The sequence below is a fragment of the Homo sapiens genome, chromosome 3 (assembly GCF_000001405.40).
Source record: "Homo sapiens chromosome 3, GRCh38.p14 Primary Assembly".
NCBI classification, from domain to species: domain Eukaryota; kingdom Metazoa; phylum Chordata; class Mammalia; order Primates; family Hominidae; genus Homo; species Homo sapiens.
Window position 1 is genome coordinate 127,958,066 of NC_000003.12, and position 23,356 is coordinate 127,981,421.

General features: G+C 39.9%; 1 protein-coding gene and 1 pseudogene across 5 annotated transcripts in view; both read left to right on the forward strand.

Moving 5' to 3' along the window:
* KBTBD12 (kelch repeat and BTB domain containing 12) overlaps positions 1 to 23,356 on the forward strand; it is a 72,446-nt gene that overhangs the window by 42,834 nt on the left and 6,256 nt on the right. For 3 of the 5 annotated variants that reach the window (NM_001370224.1, NM_207335.4, XM_047447589.1), the window contains exon 5: positions 5,124 to 5,321. In NM_001370224.1, the coding sequence (NP_001357153.1) occupies positions 5,124 to 5,321 (198 nt within the window). Of the gene's footprint in view, positions 1 to 5,123; positions 5,322 to 7,693; positions 10,488 to 16,294; positions 16,674 to 23,356 lie in introns of those variants that run through there. The other 2 variants (XM_047447590.1, XM_047447591.1) reach the window with 2 other exon arrangements.
* On the forward strand, positions 5,543 to 5,659 carry RNA5SP139 (RNA, 5S ribosomal pseudogene 139; annotated as a pseudogene).

Genomic DNA, 23,356 nt, shown 5'->3' on the forward strand with positions numbered 1-23,356 from the left:
AGCCTCCCTTATTTGGAGAATGGTTGAGTGTTCTGGTGCCTCAGGGGCAGGGGCGGTGCAGGAGGGAGAAGGGCAGACCAGGCATGTGAGGAGTTAGGAGCAGCTGGGTCACCAAGACTTGGTGTCTGTAGGGGAGGGGATGGGTATGGGAGGCACTGAGGAGGTACAGTCAGCAGAGTCGGTGACTGCTGAGAGGAGGGCTGTGGTGACATTCATCTGCAGCTGGCACCTCTAGCCTGCTGTGGCATCTATGGGCCATCCCCTAAGCTCACTCCCACCCACCACGTCCAGGCTCTCCACTCTGTGCTCTCCCCTTACTGGCCCAGGCTTTAGACCTGCTGGGACCCCTGCAGGACAGACTGGTGGTAAGATGGAGAAGAGACAAGGAAAAGATGGGCCCAGGGTTTGAAAGGCCCAGACTCGACTGAAAATCCACTAAGACCCAGTGCTGGGTTGACACAAAAGCCCGGGTATCACTCAGGATCAGATGGGACAGCATTGTGTAATTGCAGCTTATTTGGCACTCAGGGCCCAGCTCCAGAACGTTCTATTAAACCAGCTATATGTCCACTCGGAAGTTATCAGATAATTCCAACACTTGATTTTTCCCTCCAAAATGAAGCAAAATCAAGCTGTAACAAATGGAACTTGGTCTTCCCCTTGAAGCTCTTTTATTTGATTTTCATAGTCATCTGTGTGGGGTAGCAAACAAAAAGCAGACAGATGATTGTGTTTTCCTGGCCTGGCAAGAAAAAGCTGGTCAAGGGCTATGAAGGCCAGCAGATAGAGAGAATGGAGAATGGCCACAGTACATGGGGGCCCAGCAGCCCTGTTCTGTGAGCCCAGGCACCCTATTGATGAGCACTGCACAGTATCAACCAGAATCCGGTAGAAGGCAGGTAAGCAGCTGTCAGCCTTGTACTGAAGGGCTTCATTCTGAAAATACCCAAGAGCCTCCTGTGTTAGACTTTAGAAAGTGGCAAGAAGCTAGGTTCATGTTTTCTAGGGTTTTAGGCACCAAAGCTAGAATTCTGATACGAGGTTGGAAAAAAATCAGAGAGCTGACAACTTGTGTGAGAATGAAACAAATCATCACAAGCATTATATTAGCAGTGAATAGATCATGTCTGACATGTGAGTCAGAAAGTAGCCCATCCACTCAGATATATGGGCCAGTTTAACTCCTAGAAGCCTATGCATTGCAAAATCCTTTTCTATTGTTAGGTCCACCAACAGCTCCTACCTCTCTCAAACATTTATGACCAAATGAGTTACTCTAAGTCATGTCAGGGAGCTTTTCCCTCTGCCTGAAGCCTGAGAGGAAGGCTCTGCCCATTCCTCAGCCCTTTGGCCTTCTGAATCTCTCTATCCAACCCCGGAAGAAACTATTAAGGACAATTTGACCATACAGTTAGTAAACCATCAATTATAGACATAGCAAATAATTAAATTGAGAGTAATCAAAGGTAGGATTTCAGCAACTTTAATAAACACCGGTTACTCATGAAACATCCTAGAACATGAAAGAGAATGAGAGTTAACATTTGGGTGCCTCCTGCATGCTAGCCATTTTGTTTACACACCGTGCATGAGAATAGGTATTAAAGAAAAATTCCTGTGGCAATACTTGTGAATAGGTATACAACAAATGGGAGTTCCTCCTTACCCTTCTCCACCCTTACATGGTTGCCTAATAAGTGAATCTTTGCAACAGGTTATGGAATTGCTGTCATTATCCTTAATTTACTGATGAGAAAAGGCTGAGATAAATTAAATTGACCAACTTTGTCTAGCTAGTAAATGGTGACACAGGGTAGGGACCAGGGTCTGAGTGTTTCCAAAGTCCACATGCTTTTTCCAAGGCACGTGGGTGCCGACAATAGTAAATATATGTACATTTTTCCCCTAAGACTGGTTTAGCACGACAGGCAACTTTGGAAGCTTATCTGAAGGATTACAAACCCCCACCTCCTGTTCTGGATCAAACCCAGGGGAAAATAGAATAAGCCTGCCACCTTGAGGTGACCCTGCAGGCAGAGGACATTGGGAGCAAGCACCACTGCATTCAAGGGCAACTTGGGCAGCGAGTACCACTCCCCTCTGCTTCAGCCAGCTCCCTGCCAGGCTTTGTGTGGGAGGAGAGGTTCACTCCTGCACCCCACAGAGAGGAGAGAATCTAAAATAGCCACACACACAAGAAGGAGGGAGTCTTTATAGAAATGATAAAGAAGAGAGGCAGGCATTGTCCTCTTCTATAATTTCCCCCTTTCCACTACGCACACACCAAAAAATATAAATAAATAAAAACCAGGGTATATATTTTGCATTTGAGGTCCATTTGGATATGACCTGCAAATATAATTTCTATTCATTTGTCTGTTTTTGAATAAAGAAAAGTCATGCTCAGAGGTTCGTATAAATTAAAGATATGGAGGTATCTCATTGAAATTCTACAGATGTACTGATCCTACCCCAAGACACCTCTCATCAAAAGATTTCTCTTGTAGTGCTGGTGCTGACTTATTAATGAAGATCATGCTTTCATTTGATTATTTACCTAATCAGGATTCACCTTCAGTTTAAGCTCATTAAGTCTGCTGCTAATAGAGTGTACTTGATGGTGGAATTACATCCAAGTGAGACAGAGAATGTGTTCAGGCATTAATGGTCAGAAACAAAGACAGAGCACGCTGTAAGCTCATGTCACTCCTTGAGTGGAGCGTGTGAACTGCCTGCCAACCAAATAGAAAGGGCTAGTTTTGTAGAGTTAGGGCTGAACATTATAATTAAATACACTTGGTAACAGAGCATCAAAAGTGACAACACTAATTATTGCAAAAATCAAGAGAATAATACCCATTCTGTATATGCGTCATGTTGGGGAAGTCTTCTAATGGGCTTTTATGTGAAATTTGTGAGCTGGATTCAGGATGCTGGTTGCTCCGTGTGCCCTAACCCAACTCCAGTGACTCGCATTTGACCTCTTTGCTTCCACTTGCTGGTCTTCTGGAGGAGCTGTAATACAAACCAGCCTAGTAACATTTCTCCTGGATCTCACAAAAACAGACAACTAGATCATCTTACTCTTACCTTATGGGTGATTGCTTGTTTCAACTCCTATGGTTAAATCCTCCTCTTTAAGTCCTTCTTGCCCTACAAATAGGAAACTCCACTTTTTGTTAGGCTGAGAAAGCTCTCGCTACCACAGTGCCACATTGAAAGAGGGCCCAGGAACAGCAGAGCTGTGCCGTTAACCGAGGCCAGTGTGTCCCCTCCTTGGAAACGCTGCAGCTCAAACTTGGCACTGTAATGGGCTAAATTATTTATCCAGTCGGATAAGAGAGAAGGCAGCTAAAAGCCTCCTGAGTTAGTTTATAGCCTCAGTCCCTGGATTCAAACTGAGACAGGAAACAGGTCAGTTTATATCAGCAAAGAGAAAAAAAGACTTTTCCTTCAAAGTGCCCTTCCATCAGCTTTTATGCCTGGCATAAGCCCCAACCATGGTGAAAATAAGCTGTTCCCATCAATCTTCTTGGATTCATTGAGTACTGTGTGGCAGGCCCTGTGATATAAAAGATGCAGAATAGTGGCCTTTGGCCCCAGTAGCACACTCACTTGGACAGGCAGGGAAAGCACATGCAAAATTAAACTTCTCATTCTTCATTCCAACACACAACGTGTCAGGCACTGGGCTAGGTACTAGGGATGCAATATGGAAAACGACAGGCCAGTGAGCAAGATAGGAAAGCAGGTGATGGTGAAAATACCACCTGACTGATGCAGTGATAGGCAAAGGGTATAAAATGACACTGAAAGAAGACAGGCCAGGAAACACATGAGATTAATTTCTCAGTATGTGATACATATAGTAAAAGCCATGAGATCAAAGCAGAGTTCTTAATTTTGGTTTTGAGATCGCTGTCAACAACATACTCCAGTATCAGTCACCACCCAACATATGCAGTTTGCACAGTGACTCTTCCAGGACCTCTCTATGTGAAGGAGAGCTGGTTTACCTGAGGCCAGTGCTTTACAGGCTTTTTGATTAGTCACACAGACCAGGCTGTGAGTCTGGATAGAATGAGGTCATCGATGAGAGGCGTGTCTGCAAATACAGGCATGTCCCTCCTTCCGGGGGGTTTACCTCAGTCTCAGGAGCCATCCTTCAGATCAGGAAATATGGCCCTGACCTTGATGACCTTCCAGTGTGGACTTGGGAGGGGAAAATAAAAGCAGTGCATAGAAATGTGTTTCTTGTAACAGTGGATAGGAAATTTGTATACAATTATTTTTCCAATGGAGAGTTGTACTTAAAGTCATGATTCTCTAAGTGTTATTTATATTCCTTGTTACAGTCCCTGGACTTCTAAATCTCACTTTTATCTCTTTAAGACACCTGTCTTGATGTCCTCTACTTTATTTATTTGCAAACACGGCCCTTTCCATCCTATTAATTTCTTAACAGCAGGAAACATGTTTTATGCATCTTTCAGAACTCCTTATTATAACTTAGCACATTGCCTTACATATAATAGGCACTTAATAATTATCTGATGAATGAACTATATCATCCAAAACTGGAAGATGCACTGGGCATTTGGGTTTAGGGCCTTTCCTGAAATTTACCAAAGAATAGTCCTTCCCTAGTTGGGAAAGATCATGCAACTTAGGAAGAGAGGGAGAAACCAGCTTGCAATGATAAGGGATGGGAAGAACACATTCCTAGCTAGCCACATCAGCAAAAGCATTGCTAACCATCAACAGCAAGGCAGATGTCAAAGTCAGGTTACCTTTACAGTCAACCCTGAAATTCTTATTATAAAGGGGATGCTCATGATGTGAACCAGCATTGGATATTATAGAATATAAGCCAGTGGTAGACTCAGTCTCATGCATGATCACAAACAAGGAGAACACTATGAATAAAAATGACATTGAATGTCGCTATGGAGTACACAGTAGACATCACTATTGCTTAGAACTTGTCTTCAAGGTAGCACCTGGCAAGAAAGAGAAAAGTTACAGTCCCATAAACCTTTGATACAAACCATGCAGGGGGCAGTGCTGTCCACAATTGAGTTTCAGTTCCTGATCCTCTCATTTCTCCACATAATTCTCTGCAGGTGGCATTGGCTGTGTAGGTCAAGACAAGGGCCAGGTTCGAAAATGCCTTGACGTGGTGGAGATCTACAACCCAGATGGGGACTTTTGGCGAGAGGGCCCTCCCATGCCAAGTCCCCTCCTCTCACTCCGCACCAATTCCACCAATGCAGGGGCAGTGGATGGGAAACTCTATGTCTGCGGGGGATTCCATGGAGCAGGTATGGGTCCAGTTTTAAACATTTTGTTACCTCCTTTGGTGTTGATTTGACTTTCTTTAACTGATCCAATCACCACTAATATTCCTGAGAGCAACGTGAGCACTGCAAAAGCATGGCTTTTAGAGTCAGGGACCCTGTGCAAAACCTCTTGGCCTGGGTTTCACATGGACAAAGTGAAGCTGGCACATCCATAGGCTGTCGTAAGAATTAAATGGAATCTAGTTTACGGCCATACCACCCTGAACACACCTGGTCTCACCTGATCTTGGAAACTAAGCAGGGTCGGGCCTGATTAGTACTTGGGTGGGAGAATTAAAAGGGAATCTAGTTTGTACAGCATCTAGCACATAGTAGACACTCACTATATAGTAGTTGAATATGAAGAGAAGAGAAATGGGAGAGGTAGCCTAATGACTATGGTGAGACTAAAGAAGAGATTTTAAAATGGGAAGAGTAGCTGAAAGTGGAGTACTGATCAGAAGTGTTGGGTTTTATCTGATCAAGACTCAGAAAACTCTCTTATTCCTACCCCATGACTACCACTTGAAATAAATGGCTTGAAAGCATTTCTAAAATAATACCTAATGCATGTGTTTATTACTAAACCTTTTTCCATATATCTAATTGTACCATCACTGCATTCTACAGTATGGATTTATAATTTTTTAATGTAACAATGAGATTATAAACTATGCATAAATCTAGTAGGCACATGCCTCCAAAGTTTGATTAGTGGCATAAGTAAATAAGGCAGAATGCAGTTATATTAAAAATGACTAACTTGAATTATATTCTCACTAACAAGCACAAGGCCAGTACATACCCATGAAAACATGTGCCTCAAGAGCACTTAGAATTTTGGAAGAATGCCAGGTTAAAGTAAAGCTGATACTGCAGCAAAGCAGAGCCTTTCGCAAGCCTGCCTTCACTCTTTAAGCACATGATATGTTAAAGAATAAGATGGTGGCTGGGCGCGGTGGCTCACACCTGTAATCCTAGCACTTTGGGAGGCCGAGGCAGGCAGATCACAAGGTCAGGAGTTTGAGACCATCCTGGCCAACATGGTGAAACCCCATCTCTACTTAAAAAAAAAAAAAATACAAAAATTAGCTGGGTGTGGTGGTGCCTGCCTGTAATCCCAGCTACTCGGGAGGCTGAGGCAGGAGAATTGCTTGAACCAGGGAGTTGGAGGTTGCAGTGAGCCAAGATCGTGCCACTACACTCCAGCCTGGCAACAGAGCGAGACTCCATCTCAAAAAAAAAAAAAAAAAAGAAAGAAAAAGAATTTGTGGATGAAAATGATATACTGTCTGAAATTTGTTTTAATCTATTCTAGCAAATATTGTTTTTAATGGCAAGAGGTGGCAAGAATACATTGAAAGTTGCCATAATAAAAACTTTACTTTTTCTTTCTCTATTTGCTCTTCAAAACATTTTTCAAAGAGGTTTTTAAAAAGTTGTTTTAATCTCTTTTACATTAAACATTACATGCCATGCTTGGGTAAAGACTGTAATCTATCATAGTAGTAAGAAACCTGGCCCAACAAGGAATCCTAATAGGGGCCCCTTGCTCAAGCCCTGCGTGTAAGAAGGGAGCTGAGGAGCCAGGAGGGAGAGCCCTGGTGCTGTGCCCACTCATGCGGCAGGGCTGTCCTCCAGCTTGCTTACATGAGCAACTCCCATATTCTGGCCTTTGGCTTTCTCTTGGCCAGAAAAGAAGGACAGAGAATCTGAGGGTTAGCCTCCAGAGGGATAGGTGGTTATTCACGTCTAAGGATCTAGAAGACATTCTGTTTTGTCTTGCTTCTTTATCTTTCTTTATATAATATTGAATTAGAGAATTGATATCCTCCAGTTTTTCAAACATGTCAAATAAACTCATACTATGAGCTAACCTCTCTTCTTGGTACTATTAATATAATGGACTGGTAATGCTTTCAGCCAAAGGGACTTACTATATGAGCTCTCAAAGTCCATTTTAATTATTTGTTTCTAAGATGGTAGATTGTTTGGGATTCGCTGAATGAATTATCACTGGGATTTTATACAAAATAAAACAATTGTATAATAACATACCTATTATGATCTAGAGATCTCATCAGACCTAAAACAGACACTAAATGTTTTCTCCCTGTGTGACACAGACCTACTTGTCTCATTTATTTTTTCAGAAAACCACAGTTGAGAAAGTAATCTCTTTTAATATACTTAATTCAATAAAAATACATTGAAATATATTGTGAACAGGTATTTGGGATACAATCGAGATTTTCAACATTTGGTGGGAAAGACAGATGGATAAACATGTAATAAACATAGTAATTTGTTTTTGGTTAAAATAGTAGGTTGAACACCTCTATTTTATCTTCAAGCCCCACTAAAATGACAGTAAGTCGAATAAACACAGACAAAGAGAAGAGACAGGAAAATAGCAACAACAATTTGGAAGCTAAAAAGCAGATGTATGAGAAAGTGTAATCCTAACTGGCAACAGAAAAAACAAAAAACAAACAAAAACCCTGATTTGTAACCTGGAACCCCAGATAATCTCAGGAGTTGGCAACAAAAGGTAACTGTGGACATTGAAATGAAAATGATACTGAAAACATGAAGATTAGCTGAAAGACAGGAAGACCCCTAATTTCCTGCCCTACTCTTGATAGTGAGACAAAGACCTTTCACCCTGACAAAGGCTGAGGTTGAGGACAGGAGTTAAGGTCAGGCATCCAGTAATTTAAAAAGAGATTGAGTGGAAGGTTGCATATTGAATATTGAGGTCCTCAGCCTCCTTCCCTCCCTGACTCTCAGAATATGCACAGCCATACCCTCTCGGCAAGAGATTGGGAGGTTCTTCTCTGGGGGTCTGACCAGCCCCCAACTAAGGCAAAGCCAGATTACCCTGCAGAGAATCTCACAGAAAAAGTCTTTTATGGCATCCCACTCTTAAAGATGAACAAGCAACTAAGGATCACCGAACATCTGAGGAAGTGCATAGATGAAAGATAGAAAGCAAACTGGAGGAAACAGAGGCTATGCCAGGAGAGGTGTCCTCAGAGAGATGAGAGAAAATATTGCATCAATAGAACAGGAAAAGGATATTTAAAACATTTCTTGGAAATTAAAAAATATAGCAGAAATTAAATCTACAATGGAAAATTTGGAAAGTGTAGTAGAGGAAACTTCTCACAAAGCAGAACAAAAAGCAATTATATGGAAAATTAGAGAAAGAGAAGTTGAGGCCAGGAGGTCCAACATTTGAATAATAGGAGTTGGTCAATGGCTAAACAGAGAAAACAGAGGGAAATAAATTATCCATGAAGTAAATTAAAAATTTTCCCCCAAACTGAAGTCATCAGATTGAAAGGATATACAAATGCCAAGGACAAAGGATGAAAAGGGACCCAAACTAGGGCACATCACTGTGACATTACAGAACACTGGGGAAAAAAATAAAAGGTTGTAAAAGTTCCTAAAGAGAAAAAACAATAGTTTTACACAAAGTGCCAAGAATCAGACTTCTGAATGATGACATTGGGAGCTAGAAGAAAACGAAGCAAATGCTATCTAAATTTCTATGGGAAAATTACTTTCCACCTACGATTCTATGCCTGCTGAACTATTAAATTTGAGGGCACATTTTCAGACATACAGTGCCTCCAAAATTTTTTCTCCTGTGTGCCCTTTTATCAGGACATGCTTCACCAAAAATGAACATATAAACCAAAAAAGATAGATGTGGGACCCAAGAACAGAATTAAACATAATAGAGAGAAAAGGAAATCAGTGGAGGATATTGAGGGGAGATTCAAGAAGCTGCAAAGCAGGCCGAAAGAGTGGCCAGAATAGAATGGAGCCGGTCAAAGGGCTCTGTGAGAGATGCCTTCAAGATTCCAACATTTGGAGAAGAACAATGAAAACTAGCAAAAATAAAATGAGAGAAAACAGTAAGTCATGCAGAAAAGGAAAAGTATGCCACACAGTCCATCTGTGAATAGCATTTATAACAATATCATAATAAACATACTCAATACTGAACTGACCAAAACTATGCCTTAACTGTACTGGAAAATGTGGAAACAGACCATAGGTAGATAGGGTAGGAATGTGAGAGAAAGCCAAGTCCGCATTCTTCACAGTGGAAGTCAAGAGTTAATGCCTTCATCTGACAAAGCAAGAGGCAGAAGTAATATAAAAAGTGTTGTTTATAGAGACCATGGTCAGTGCCAGCAGAATCAGCCAGAGTGGAGAGAGAAGCAGTGAATGGGGAGCAGGTCAGGGAACAACTGTTTTTAAGGAATAAGACTTGTAAAGCAGCTATTTAAATCAAGCAAATGTGTAACTAATAAAACCTAAATTTAAAATATGTAAATATAGTGCATATAGTAGAAGAATAACAAGAGAGTATTAAGAAAAATATGAACAAGTGAGTCTTTTGGGAGATAATTTTCCATGGGTCTTAAGTGTTTCTGCATGTCTTATGAGCAGAGGTACTGACTGCTTTTGTTCTGGACTATTTCTTCAAGCATCTTTGATAGCATACAGCCTTAGAAGATATAGTCAGTATCTCCACAGCAAAGAGCAGGCATGCTCACTGGTCATTATGAAAAATTCCGGTTCCCTAAGCTCAGCATTTCTCTGCAGTAATGCAACCCATTGATTGTACAGGTCTCAGCTGGCACTCTTCACATTGCCCCGTGAGAATAAGTCAAAAAACTGGCATAATAACTGGCATAAAAATGCTGATATACTAGTTGCTACTATTGCTATAACACTGTCTTTCATCTCTGACCCAGAAGTCTTACGTCTTCTATTAGCATCCATGAAACTGCAGCAAGCTTACTTATAAAATCCCAGACTCTTTGCAGTTCTTGACAGAGTCCTGGGACTCACCAGGAGGCTTTGTTCTCCACCTCCAATACAGAATGAGGGAGCCAGTATTGTGTTTCAAAAAGGTCAGAGCTCATAACACCAATCCTTCACAAACTCTTACAAAATATACAAGAGGGAACAATTCCAAACTTACTATTTGAGGCCAGTGTTATTCTGATACCAAAACTAGGCAAAGACATTGCAAGAAAACTATAGGTTAGTAGCCTTTATGAATATAGATGCAAAAATCTAAACAGAATACTAGCAAACTGAATCCAGCAACATGCAAAAAGAATTATACACCGTGTTCGAGAAGGATTTATCCCAGAAATGAAAAGTTGGCTTACCATTTGAAAATGAATCAATGTGTGGGAGGAGGGAGAGCATCAGGAAGAACAGCTAATGGATGCTGTGCTTAATACCTAGGTGATGGGTTGATCCGTGCAGCACACCACCATGGCACACATTTACCTATGTAACAAACTTGCATATCCTGCATATATACCTCGGAACTTAAAATAAAAGTTGAAGGAAAAAAAAAAGAAAACGAATCAATGTAATATGCCGTATTAGTAGAATAAAGGGAAAAAAACAGATTATCTCAATAGATGCAAAGAAAAAAAATAGATGCACCCTTTCGTGCTATAGATACTTAACAAACTGGAAATAGAAAGTAACTTCCTCAGCCCGATAAAGGGTATTTATGAAAAATCTACAGCTAACATCATGCTTAATGGTAAAAGACTGAAAGGTTTCCCCCTAAAATCAGGAACAAGGCATGAATGCCTACTCTTGCCACTTCTATTCAGCATTATACTGGAGGTTCTAATCAGTAAAATTATGAAAGAAAAAGAAATATAAAGCATCCATATTGGAAAGTAATAACTAATTGCATATGACATAATCATTTTTTTCGAAAATCTTAAGGAATTATTTTAAAAAGCTACTAGAGCTAATAGACAGGTTCAACAAGGGTGCAGGACATAAGACCATACGCCAAAAAATTGTATTTCTATACACTTACAATGAACAATTAAAAAATGAAATTAAGAAAACAATTCTATTTACAATATCATCAAAAAGAATAAAATAGGAGTAAATTTAACAAAAAAAGTACAGGATTTGTACACTGAAAACTGCAAGACATCATTAAAAGGAATTAAAATTCTATATAAATGGTAAGATATTACATACAAAAATTGATAGGATGATCCTAAAATCTATATGGAAATGTAAGAGACCCAGAAAAGCCAAAATGATCTTGTAAAAGAACAAAGATGAAAGACCCACACTTCCTAATTCTGAAGCTTTACTTCAAAGCTATAGTAGTCAAGACCATGTGGTACCAGCATAATGATAGACAAAACATATCGATCAGTAGAATAGACTTGAGAGTTCAGAAATAATCCCTCCATTTCAGTCAACTGATTTTCAACAAGGCTGCCAAGACAAGTCAGTGAGGAAAGGATCCTTTTTTCAACAAATGGTGCAGGAATAATTGGATATCCACATGCAAAATAATGAAGTTGGAATCCTGCCTCTTACCATGTACAAAAAGGAACCCAAAGTAGATTAAAAATCTAAACATACAACCTAAAACTGTAAAATTCTTAGAAGAAAATGTAGGCATAAATCTTGAATTAGGTGATGGTTTCTTAGAAATGCCAAAGCACACATACCAAAAAAAAAAGATAAATTGTACATCAAAAATCAAAACGTTTGTGCTTCAAAGAGCAACAACAAGAACATGAAAAGACAACCCACAGGATGAGAGACAATAATTGCAAATCATGTCTGGTAAGAGACTTGTATCTAAAATACATTAAGAAATCTTATAACTCAATAATAAAAAGATAACATATTTTTAATGGACAAAGGAACAGAATAGACACTTGTCCAGTGAATATAAACAGATGATCTAGTGCTCAACATCATTAGCCATTAAGAAAATGCAAATCTAAACCATGATGAGATACACTTCATACCCACAAGGATGACTACAATGAAAAAAAGATAGATAATAACAAGTATTGTCGAGGTTTGGAGAAATCAAAACCACCATACGTTGCTGGTGATATAAAATAATGCAGCTGCTCTGGAAAAGTCTGGCAGTTCCTCAAGAGGTTGACACAGAGTTGCCATACGATGCAGCAATCCCACTCCTAGGTATATATCCAAGAGAATTGAAAATATATGCCCACCCTTGTACCTGAATGTTCACAGCAGCAGCATTCGTCTCAGCCAAAAAGTGGAAACAACCCAAGTGTCCATCCACAGATGGACAGATAAGTAAAATACACAAATAAGTAAAATACTGTCTATTTAAGCAGTGGAATATCATTTGGCAATAAAAAGGAATGAAATACTAACAGTTGCTACAACATAGATGAACCTTGAAAGCATTATGCTAAGTGAAAGAAGGCAATCACAAAAGACCACATATCACATGATTCCATTTATATGAAATGTCCAGAAAAGGCAGATGGATAGAGGCAGAAAGTAGATTTGTGATTGCCAGAAAATGGAGAAAGGGTGAATGGGTAGTGACTGCTAATGGGCAGAGGATTTATTTTGGGAGTGATGAAAATGTTCTGAAATTAGACAGTGGTGATGGCTGCACAACTCTGTGAATATACTAAAAAACCATTTTTTTATACATTTTCAAGGGGTGAATTTTATGATATATGAACTATACCTCAATAAAGCTGTTGTTAAAGTGAAAAAGTCAGAACTCCTTCTCTTATATCCTCACAGTAATCAGCTTGGTGTTTGACACTAATGAGGAGAATTAAGCTGAACTGCCCATGGTGAGGGTGCTTAGAGGCAGGTTCCTTGAGTGAAAGAGGCAGAAATGGCCCATTCCAGAGACAGAATTAGGCTTCCTGAGACAGAGAAGACAGTGGTGGCAGATGACACCTAGTGGCAGGAAACTATTCCCTGCTATAAGAACATCCAAGGGATGACAACACTGTGGCCTTAGGTACCTGCAAAAGATTCCTGTGGTTGGCACGCAGAAATCCTGCCTTTTAAGGGACCCTGTGGGCTTGGACAGAGGGCATCTTGGTGATAATCATAATGAACTGAATACCGAAGAGCCACTCTCATGTTTTCTAGCTCAAGTGTGCCCTCAGGATTCTTGTATATCTCACAAAGAGGAGTTGCTCCCAGAGGGCTCAGCCTTCTCCCTGCTGACAAAGCCCCCACTTTGGCTCTTGTTCCAGCTGTTGGCCCTTTGAGACTCAACTGCATATTCTTGCCAGGCTCTGGTTTCTGTCTGTTTCCCCGAACTCTGGTGCAGGGTCCCCCCATTCCCTACTATGGCAGCCCATCGGTACACACTTGTTTGCCACTTGTGGCTGTCTTCCCTTCCTCCAGGATGGCAGGGGAGCTCAGGGAGCAGGCTGAGGGAGCAGGGAGGCCTCCTGTTTCTCCACTTCAACTCTATACTGGCTGCCAGTGGGACCCGCTGTGGGCAGGGGGATTTCTTCCCAGAGTCCAGGCTAAGTCCCTTCTGCCTTCAGCCCATCTGAGCCATTTTCATCATCTTCTTTGGCTAACTTCTAGGGGACCCAAACAACATTTTCACCTTAGTATCAGCCCCTCCAAATCTTCCTTCCTTCACCCAGGACTGGAAATGCTCTCTACCTCCTCCATCTGTCCAGCAAGAACTTCCCTCAAATCACCCCTCTGCCTCCTCTAGTTTAGTCTTGTGGCACAGTCTTAATGGTGAAAAGCCTGTCGAGGACAAATCTGAATTATCAGAAAGAGAAAATGCACTGGGAAGTACTTCAAAAATGAATTCTTTTACTAACCAATGCAGATTAAAATTGACAGCTGACAGTTACCTGGTTACCCTGTGCTAGGGAAAATTCTAAGCACTTTGCATGTGTTAATTTATTTGATTCTCTCAACAGCCTGCAACTATTATTTCCCTTATTTTAAAGGTGCAGAAACTGAAGCCATCTAAAGAAGTCAAACAGAGGGTAAATGTTGAATTTGGGATTCAAAGTTAGATAGTCTGGCCCCAAAGTCTATATTTTTAGCAGTAGGCTAAACTGTCTCTCCATACCAGACAAATCAAATCAGAATATTTGGTTATGGGGCCTGGGCATCAATATTTTTTAAAAATCTTCAGATTTTTCTAACATGCAGTCAGGGTTAAGAGCCTGGCTGATGTCTGTTGGGTTTTCATTCAACAAACCTTTATTGAATGCCTTTCTAGGTAGTAAGCCCATGTTAAACCCCAAAGATACACATACAAACATGTTTGGTTCCAGCCCTAACAGAGCTCATTGAGGGCAAAATAAGGAAGTTGCTGTATTGTTGGATGATGGACTCAGCTAGCTGCTTAGAATGTAGTTGTGCTTCTTCACAAAATAGCTGATTCTAGGTTTGGAGCACAGAAATTGCAAGGTAAGGTTCAGATATCCTGTTACACCAGAAAGCAGGTACATTGTCAAAGACTTAAGGGAGTCATGAAAAGACAGAGAAACCAGCCTGAAAGGGCAGTCACTGGCCAGATTCAAAATAATTCAAACATCAAAAATCGTAATTGACTATAATTGACTGAAACACATTGAATCAAAAGCCAGGTAATAAATGTAGAAGTCATGATAGAAGGATAGCCAAGATCCTAATTTGTATAATAGTTGGTTCAGTCAGAAATCATCAATGGATGCTAAAAGCATCGGTTGAAAGGTTATAAAGAACAGGATAGTCACATGGCACTGAAGACATATTACCTGATAAATCACAGACTAATTACAACATGAAAAAATATGTACTTTTACAATGGAGAAATTGGATAGCCACCGCTGTAATCAAATAATCATCATTAATAATGATATAATTTTATAGTATTTGCTTCCTATATCATTCAGTATAGAGTCTTCTCATGTCCCCACCACCACCAAAATACTTAACTTGTGTCCAGTCAAACCTCTACATTTTACCTCCAGTTTATAGGAAATAGAGGAAGAACAAAGTAAACAACCCTATGAGGAGATAGGTGAATTCAGCTTGTGGGACATTCTACAAGAAAACTGACCCTGACTCAAAAAAATTAATGTCACAGGGAAAAAAACCCAAGATGGGGGCCTTCCTAAATGAAAGGAGACCAGAGAGACATAATAACAAAGTATAATGTGTGAAGGTTGGTTGGATGATGGTTTGAAAATAACAGCTATTGAGTTATTCTGGGGACAACTGGGGAAATTAGAATATGAACAGGATTTTATTCAATTTTATAGAATTAATGTTATTTTTTCATAGGTATGATAATGGTTTGTGATTATGTAAAGGAATTTCCTCATCCTTAGAAGAAGTATGCTGAGTATTTAGGAGTGAAGTATTATGCCTGTAATTGATTTTTCAAGGTTTCAGGAAAAAAAAAGTGTGTGTGTGTATGGGGTGGGGACATAAAGATAATAAGGCAAAATGCTAACTATTATTGACTCTAGATGCAGAATACACCGGTATTCAGTGTACTATTCTTTCACCTTTTCTGTATGTTTGAAATTTCTCAAAATAAAAAACTGATAAAAGAACAAAGCTTTGATAGACACCAGCTATGGTGGCCACTATGCTACAAGTCTGTTTTATCCTAGTACTAATGACTACAGAGAAAAAGATGGAATGATGGAAGTGGTTTGTTTTACCTTTGGCATCCCCGTGCCCCCCAGCCACACCCTGGAGAAATTGTACTAAACTTATGATATCCTGGAGGAGAGTTACTATTTTCATTTTCAACTTCCTATCTGTCCTACAGTATATACCATATACCCATACATACATACACTGTCTATATCATATATATAAAAAACATTTCTATTTCCACAAGGAATGGAGACATTTTACAGAACTGGCATAGACAAAATAAAACTAAAAACATGCTTAGCAGTAAGTGCAGAGAGCAATTATATCAGCAAACCTAAGCTAAGAAACATTTCCAGAATTTGGCCCAGCTTCGTAGCCACCAAAGCAAAGAAAGAAAACTGATGGATTTTGAATCCCTTGCAGGAGGCATCTGAATCTTTGCTTCTGCTGCTTTCTCCTCCTAAGTCTGTCTCATGCTTTCCTTTCTCTTCTGACTGTGTTCTTCCCAGGGGCCTCCATGATACGGAAAGAGGGCTCCACAGCCATCAGTTTCATCCTGTACCGTCACTCCAGCCTGAGGGCATTGCTCTCCCTAGATGCCAGAGCAGCAGATTGTGAACAGGTTTCTGTATGGGCCATCATGAAGGGAATGTCCTTCAACTGACAGGAACCTCCTGTCCCTTAAGAGTGAGAAGCTAAGATCCCATCCCCAAATCCTGGAGACTCACCACATTCATTCACAACCTGATTGCTCAGGGACAAGTTCCCTGTTCCATACATCTGACCTGTTCTTTCCCCTCCGGACCACTTGGCTTTATTTTCCAATTAAGTTTCCAAGTATAAAAATAATCATCTGGCCAGGCACGGTGGCTCACGCCTGTAATCCCAGAACTTTGGGAGGCCGAGGCTGGGGGAACACGAGGTGAGACCATCCTGGCTAACATGGTGAAACCCCATCTCTACTAAAAATACAAAAAAATTAGCCGGGCATGGTGGCGGGTGCCTGTAGTCTCAGCTACTCGGGAGGCAGGAGAATGGCATGAACCTGGGAGGTGGAGCTTGCAGTAATCCAAGATCGCACCACTGCACTCCAGCCTGGGTGACAGAGCGAGACTCCGTCTCAAAATAAATAAATAAATAAATCATCTCTGTTAGTTTGAGTTCCCCCAAAGCATACCTTGAAACAAGGCTTTGAGTGCAAATAGTTTTTTGATGGGAAAGTGCTTCCAGGAGGCTACTAAGAGGGGAGAAGAGAGTAAGATGGGAAAGGAGGGGCGCCAGGAGAGCAGTGTGACCTGACAGGTAACCACTGTGGGCCACTGAGGGTCAGTCCCACTGAGAAATTCTGGGAGGCAGTGTAGAACACACCTCGCAGTTGTCTCACCCAAAGGGTGAAGGATCTGGAGGTGTTCATCCTCAGACTAACTTCCTATCTGACCCCCTGGAGCTAAGAGAAAATCCTCAGGCAAAGAGTAGCAGACGGATGTAGTCAGCCTGTTCTGGAACAGGGATCACAGAGGAGATATGGCTGACATCTGGTATGTCAGCTGATACTTCTGACAGTCTCTTCTATGGCACCCTAACCACCCACCTTCAAATAAAGAAGGCTTATTACTGTTAACCAAGAAGATACACATGACATCAGGAGCACCGCGTGGGTCAGAAAAGACAGATTCAGCTTGCAGTGATAGCAGACTGTCATTGTCCCACCTTGCACCAGCTTCTTCTTACCATGTAGTCATTGGTTCTCCTTTTCCTAGAATGCATCCAAGAACAGGAACTCAGTCTCCATGCTCTGTGCTAAGCTGACATGCAGATCTGTAGATCCCTAAAGTTTTATATGTTTTATAAGTTTTTGCAAATTTGAAAAATTGACACTGATTTGTTAGCATGAGATAGAATTTTCTCTCCGAACTCTATCAAGCTAGGAAAGGCTAAAGAGGTCTGCTGTTGGCTTTGGACTTTAGGCAGCATTGGACTTTAAGCCTGACATTGGTTACTGCTGTTTGCAACATTGACATTACAGCGACCATGAGGGAATAGAATCTTGGTGAACTCTTTTCTTGTTTAAACTTTTTATTTGAAATAATTTTAAACTTACAGAAAAGTTACAAAAAAGAAAATGGTATAATGAATACCCAGATTCACCTATTGCTAATATTTTTCCTAATTTGCATTATTTAACATTTGCTCAATCATGCAATACCCATACATATAGACAGGTACATAATTTTGTTCTGACCATATGCAAGTAAGCTGCATACATCACACAATTTACACCTAAATACCCAGTGTGTAGAATCTGAATATTTTCTTACATAAACACGGATAGCTAACAATTTTAGGAATTTTAACATTGATTCCATATTTTTATTTATTCTACTCTTAGTCTTCTAATTTTTTCAGTTGACCTGGTAATGTTCTTTTTGTAGCACCTTTTCTCTCCATGCCAGTCTAAGATCAAGTATTGTGCTTGTTGACATGTCTTCTCAGTTTTCTTAAATCTGGAACATGTCGACACGCCCTTTTTCCCCCCTTTTTACAACATTAACTTGTTTAATTAGCACAATTTCCCCGTTTTAGAATAAAATCTTCCTCTCTTGATGTCTATCCGATATTCCTGGTGATTAAATTCAGGTTATACATTCCCGGCTGGAATATTACATAACTGATATATGTCCATCTCAGGACATCACATCTGGAGGCAAACTGTGTCTCTCTGCCCCTTGCTGGCAAAGTTCACTTTAATTACCTAGTCAAGATATGGTCTAATTTCATCACTGTGTAGTTATTATTTTTCCTTTGCAAATGGTAGAAAATGTGGAAGAGATCCTGTAAAACCATGCAGTTCACTTTTTGCACTTAAGTTGTCTCCCAGAAATCTTTTCCATGTTAGGTAGTAGAGGCTGTCCTTATTCATTTTTATGTGTGTATGCTGTTTCATTGTGTGTATGTACCACAGGACCTCTGTTCTTTTTGTGTGTGTTAGTTTGTTACACTTTTAATTAATTTATTTTTAACTTTTAGGTTCAGGGGTACATGTGCAGGTTTGTTATATAGGTAAATTGTGTGTCACAGGAGTTTGGTGTACAGATTATTTCATCATCCAGTTTCTTGATCCTCATCCTCCTCACCCTTCTCCCACCCTCCACCCTTAAGTAGGCCCCAGTATCTGTTGTTCCCTTCTTTGTGTACATGTGTACTCAATGTTTAGCTCCCACTTATAAGTGAGAATATGCAGTATTTGGTTTTCTGTTCCTGTATTAGTTCACTTAGGATAATAACCTCCAGCTCCAACCATGTTGCTGCAAATGACATGATATTCCTTTTTATGGCAGCATAGTATTCCATGGTGTCTACCACAGTTTCTTTATCTGGTCTACCACTGATGGCATTTAGGTTGATTCCAGGTCTTTGCTATTGTGAATAGTTCTGCAGTGATAATACACATGCATGTGTCTTTATGGTAGAACAATTTATGTTCCTTTGGGTGTATCCCCAATAATGGAATTGCTGGGTCGAATGATAGTTCTGTTTTAAGTTCTTTGAGAAAGTGCCAAACTGCTTTCCACAATGGCTGAACTAGTTTATATTCCCACCAGCAGCGTATAAGCATTCCTTTTTCTCTGCAACCTTGCCAGCATCTTTTTTCACTTTTTAATAATAGCCATTATGACTGGTGTGAGATAGTATCTCATTGTGGTTTTAATTTGTCTTTCTCTAATGATTAGTGATATTAAGCATTTTTAATATGCTTGTTGGCCGTGTGTATGTCTTCTTTTGAAAAGTGTCTGTTCGTGTCCTTTGCCCACTTTTTAATGGGGTTGTTTGTTTTTTGTTTAATTTATTTAAGTTCCTTATAGATTCTGGATACTAGACCTTTGTCGATGCATATTTTGCAAATACTTTCTCCCATTCTATAGGTTGTTTGTTTACTCTGTCGATAGTTTCTTTTGCTGTGCAGAAGCTCTTTAGTTTAATTAGATCCCATTTGTCAATTTTTATTTCAGTTGCAATTGCTTTTGGTGTCTTTGTCATGAAATTTTTGCTGGAGTGTATGTCCAGAATGGTATTTCCTAGGTTATCATCCAGAGTTTTTATAGTTTTAGGCTATACATTTAAATCTTTAATCCATCTTGAGTTGATTTTTGTATATGGCGTAAGGAAGGGGTCCAGTTTCAATATTCTGCATATGGCTAGCCAGCCATCCCAGCACCATTTATTGAATAGAGAGTCCTTTCCCCATTGCTTCTTTTTGTCAACCTTGTTGAAAATCAGATGGTTGTAGGTGTGCAGCATTATTTCTGAGCTCTCTATTCTGTTCCATTACGACCTCTGTTCTTTACCTTTTGCTGAGACAGCTTCCCAACATCTCTTTGGGCCAAAAACTAGGGCCATTCCCTGATTTCAACAACAGACTGGAATACTGGGTTCTAGTCAGGATAGTCAACACACTCCACCCTGTCTGTCCCACTAAAGGCAATTAAATCCCCTGGCCAGATGCATGGAGCAGCAATCTGAGAACTCTGAAAAGTAAATGGTAGTGGGCAGACTGGGGAAAGAAGTCAGAACTTGAAATACCACCAAATCAATAATAATTGTCTCATTTTTTTCCCTTGATATTTCCTGGCCTGGACTCAAAGATAGCCTGAAGCCTGGAACTTCAGACCAAGTATGGACAGAAACTCTAAGAAAATCCTCTTTTTCTGTTCCAAGGAGGAAGGAAGAGGGCTCCTATGGGTCAGACAGGGGGAATTTTTTCTTTCTTCTTTTTTTCGTTCTTTACCCCACCCCCTTCCCAAGCTCCCAGGCATTCCCAGGTGGTAGCAATAGCAGGGGCTGGGCTGGCCCCCTTTTCTCTGACCAGGGAAACTTTGGTCCCAAGAGTCTGAGTAAAGTCCCCATTGCCTTTCCATCTTGGTCTACTGGCCACGTCACCTTGGAGGCATGCATGTTCATGGAAAGTGTGCATCAGAGCAAAGAATCCAAAGCTCCAGCTCTTTAGCCAGAAGGCCAGGAAGGGGCATAAGGATGTTGCTGGAATCAGGAAAATGTAAGGAAGATTGCAGACAGGAGGGAGCTCAAGAAAGTGATCTCATAAAGTTGGACGTGAGCTCCTGGGCCACACACACATGATTTAGCCCTAAACTGTCTACCAAAGCCTTTGAAAACTGAGCTGACATTGGAAACACAGCCCACAGAAGGTAGCCAGGAACTTGCGGCCTACCTAACTGGGTCAGTTTTTGATTTTCTGCTAATACAAATAAACAAAAAAATCAACATTTTCCACAGGATTTAAACAAGACCTAGAATAATATGGCATAATATTCAAAATGCCTAGCATATAATCCAAAATTACTTGACTTACCAGGAACCAAGAAAATATCAGATCATACAAGAGAGAAGACAATCAACAGATACTAACCCCAAGATGGCACAGATTTTGAAATAACTAGGCAGAGACTTTAAAGCAGTCTCTAAGACTTAGTGCTCCAGGAAGTAAGAGTGAACACTTATATATAAAGCAGAAGCTATTGGAAATAGTAACATAAATGGATAAATCCGCAAAATTTGCATGGACTTTTTCAGAAATCCATGGATCAAATTGATTTTTTAAAACTAAAGCAAAAAGAGATCCAGAACTGAGCTGCCCAACACAACACAATGGTCAGCAGCCACTTACATCTATCTGAATTTCAACTTAAGCTAATTAAAATTAAATAAAATTTAAAAATCAGTTCCTCAGTCTCACTAGCCACATTTCAAATTACTCCACACCACATATGGGCAGTGGTTACTCTATTGGACAGCACAGATTACAGAACATTTCCCTCATCACAGTGAGTTCTCTTGGACAGCACTGGTATCAAGGATTTAAATAGCATAATTAGCAACTTAAATGTCATAGATATATAGAATCCTCTGCCAAGCAAACAAAATGTAACTTCCTTTTAAACACTTACAGAACACATACATTGACTAACCATAAATTAGGGCAAAGGAAAATCTCAATATATTCCCCAAAATACAAATTATAGAAGTAATATGTGCTGTCTATGATGCAAATAAATTAGAAGCATTCAGTGAAAGGGTAGTCAAGTGCACATGCATGTACTAACACATACACTCAGCTGGAGATGTTAAAACATTTTCCTAAATAAGTCTTGGGTTAAAGCAGAAATTAGGCCTGAGATTGCAAACTATGGAGAAATTTGAACTGCACCAGAAATCTTCTAAAAAGAGGTACTCAGAAGAAATGTAAGCCTTAAGTGCACATATTAGTAGACATTGAAACATGAAAAAAAGGAACTAAGCATCCATTTCAAGAAGATAGAACAAGAGAAGATAAAACAAGGTTGGTTCAAATTAATCTGTCTCTAGCACATTTCAAAGTTTTTGGTTTGAGGTAAGAGGTCTAACAGAATTCCCAAATTTTGGCACTGATAGTGTAATCATTGGGTTATTTTATTTATTTATTTTTTATTTTTTATTTTTTTGAGATGGAGTCTCGCTCTGTCGCGCAGGCTGGAATGCAGTGGTGCAATCTCAGCTCATTGCAACCTCTACCTCCTGGGTTCAAGTGATTCTCCTGCCTCAGCCTCCCAAGTAGCTGGGACTACAGGTGGGCGCTACCACGCCCAGCTAATTTTTGTATTTTCAGTAGAGACGGGATTTCACCATGTTGGCCAGGCTGGTCTCAAACTCCTGACCTCAAGTGATCTGCCCACCTTGGCCTCCCAAAGTGCTGGGATTAGAGGTGTGAGCTGCTGTGCCTGGCCGAGTGTAGTTGTCTTTGACCGGATTATAATTCCATCCATAAACCATCCTTCTGTGGCCAGGAGGAATGCAGTACTCTGAGTCAGCCATTGGGTTATTTTAAATAAATTACATTGAAAGACATAAAACATTTCTCCCACTCCAAAAATTGAGAGATATATCATGCTGCATGATTAGAAAACTGTTAAGATGTTACCTTTCCCAATCTGATTTATAAATTTAATAAAAATCCAATCAAAATCATACAAATTCTATTTTAGATTTTTTGTTGGTTTTCATTTTTAGAAATTTCACATTAGATACCAAATTAGAAACAATAATACAATTAAGCCAATCTGACCACACCAGCTTCAACAATTTTGCTGTTCTTATTTCCAAACATACTTTTTTTCTTCTTTTTACTTTTCTTTACTGGAGTACTTTAAAGCAAATCTAATAATCAGGCCATTTTATCCAAAAATACATTAATATCCATCTCTAACTGGATGGATATTTTAATATACCTACTGTGCCAAATTCACACCTAAAAAATGCACATAATCCCTTACTATTGTCTGATACACATCCCAGATTCTAGACTGTCTAAGATAGCTTGTTCCATGTGCTTCTTCAGAGCCTGGTTCTGCCATGTATCAGCTGTCAATCCTGAGGCAAGTTAATTAGCTTTTCTGGACCTGTTACCTTTTCTACAAAATGGAGAAAATAATAAATCCTTCTCAGATGATAGTTCAAAAGACTAAATGAGATCATACATTTAAATCACCTAATGCTATCCAATAAATAGTCATTATTAT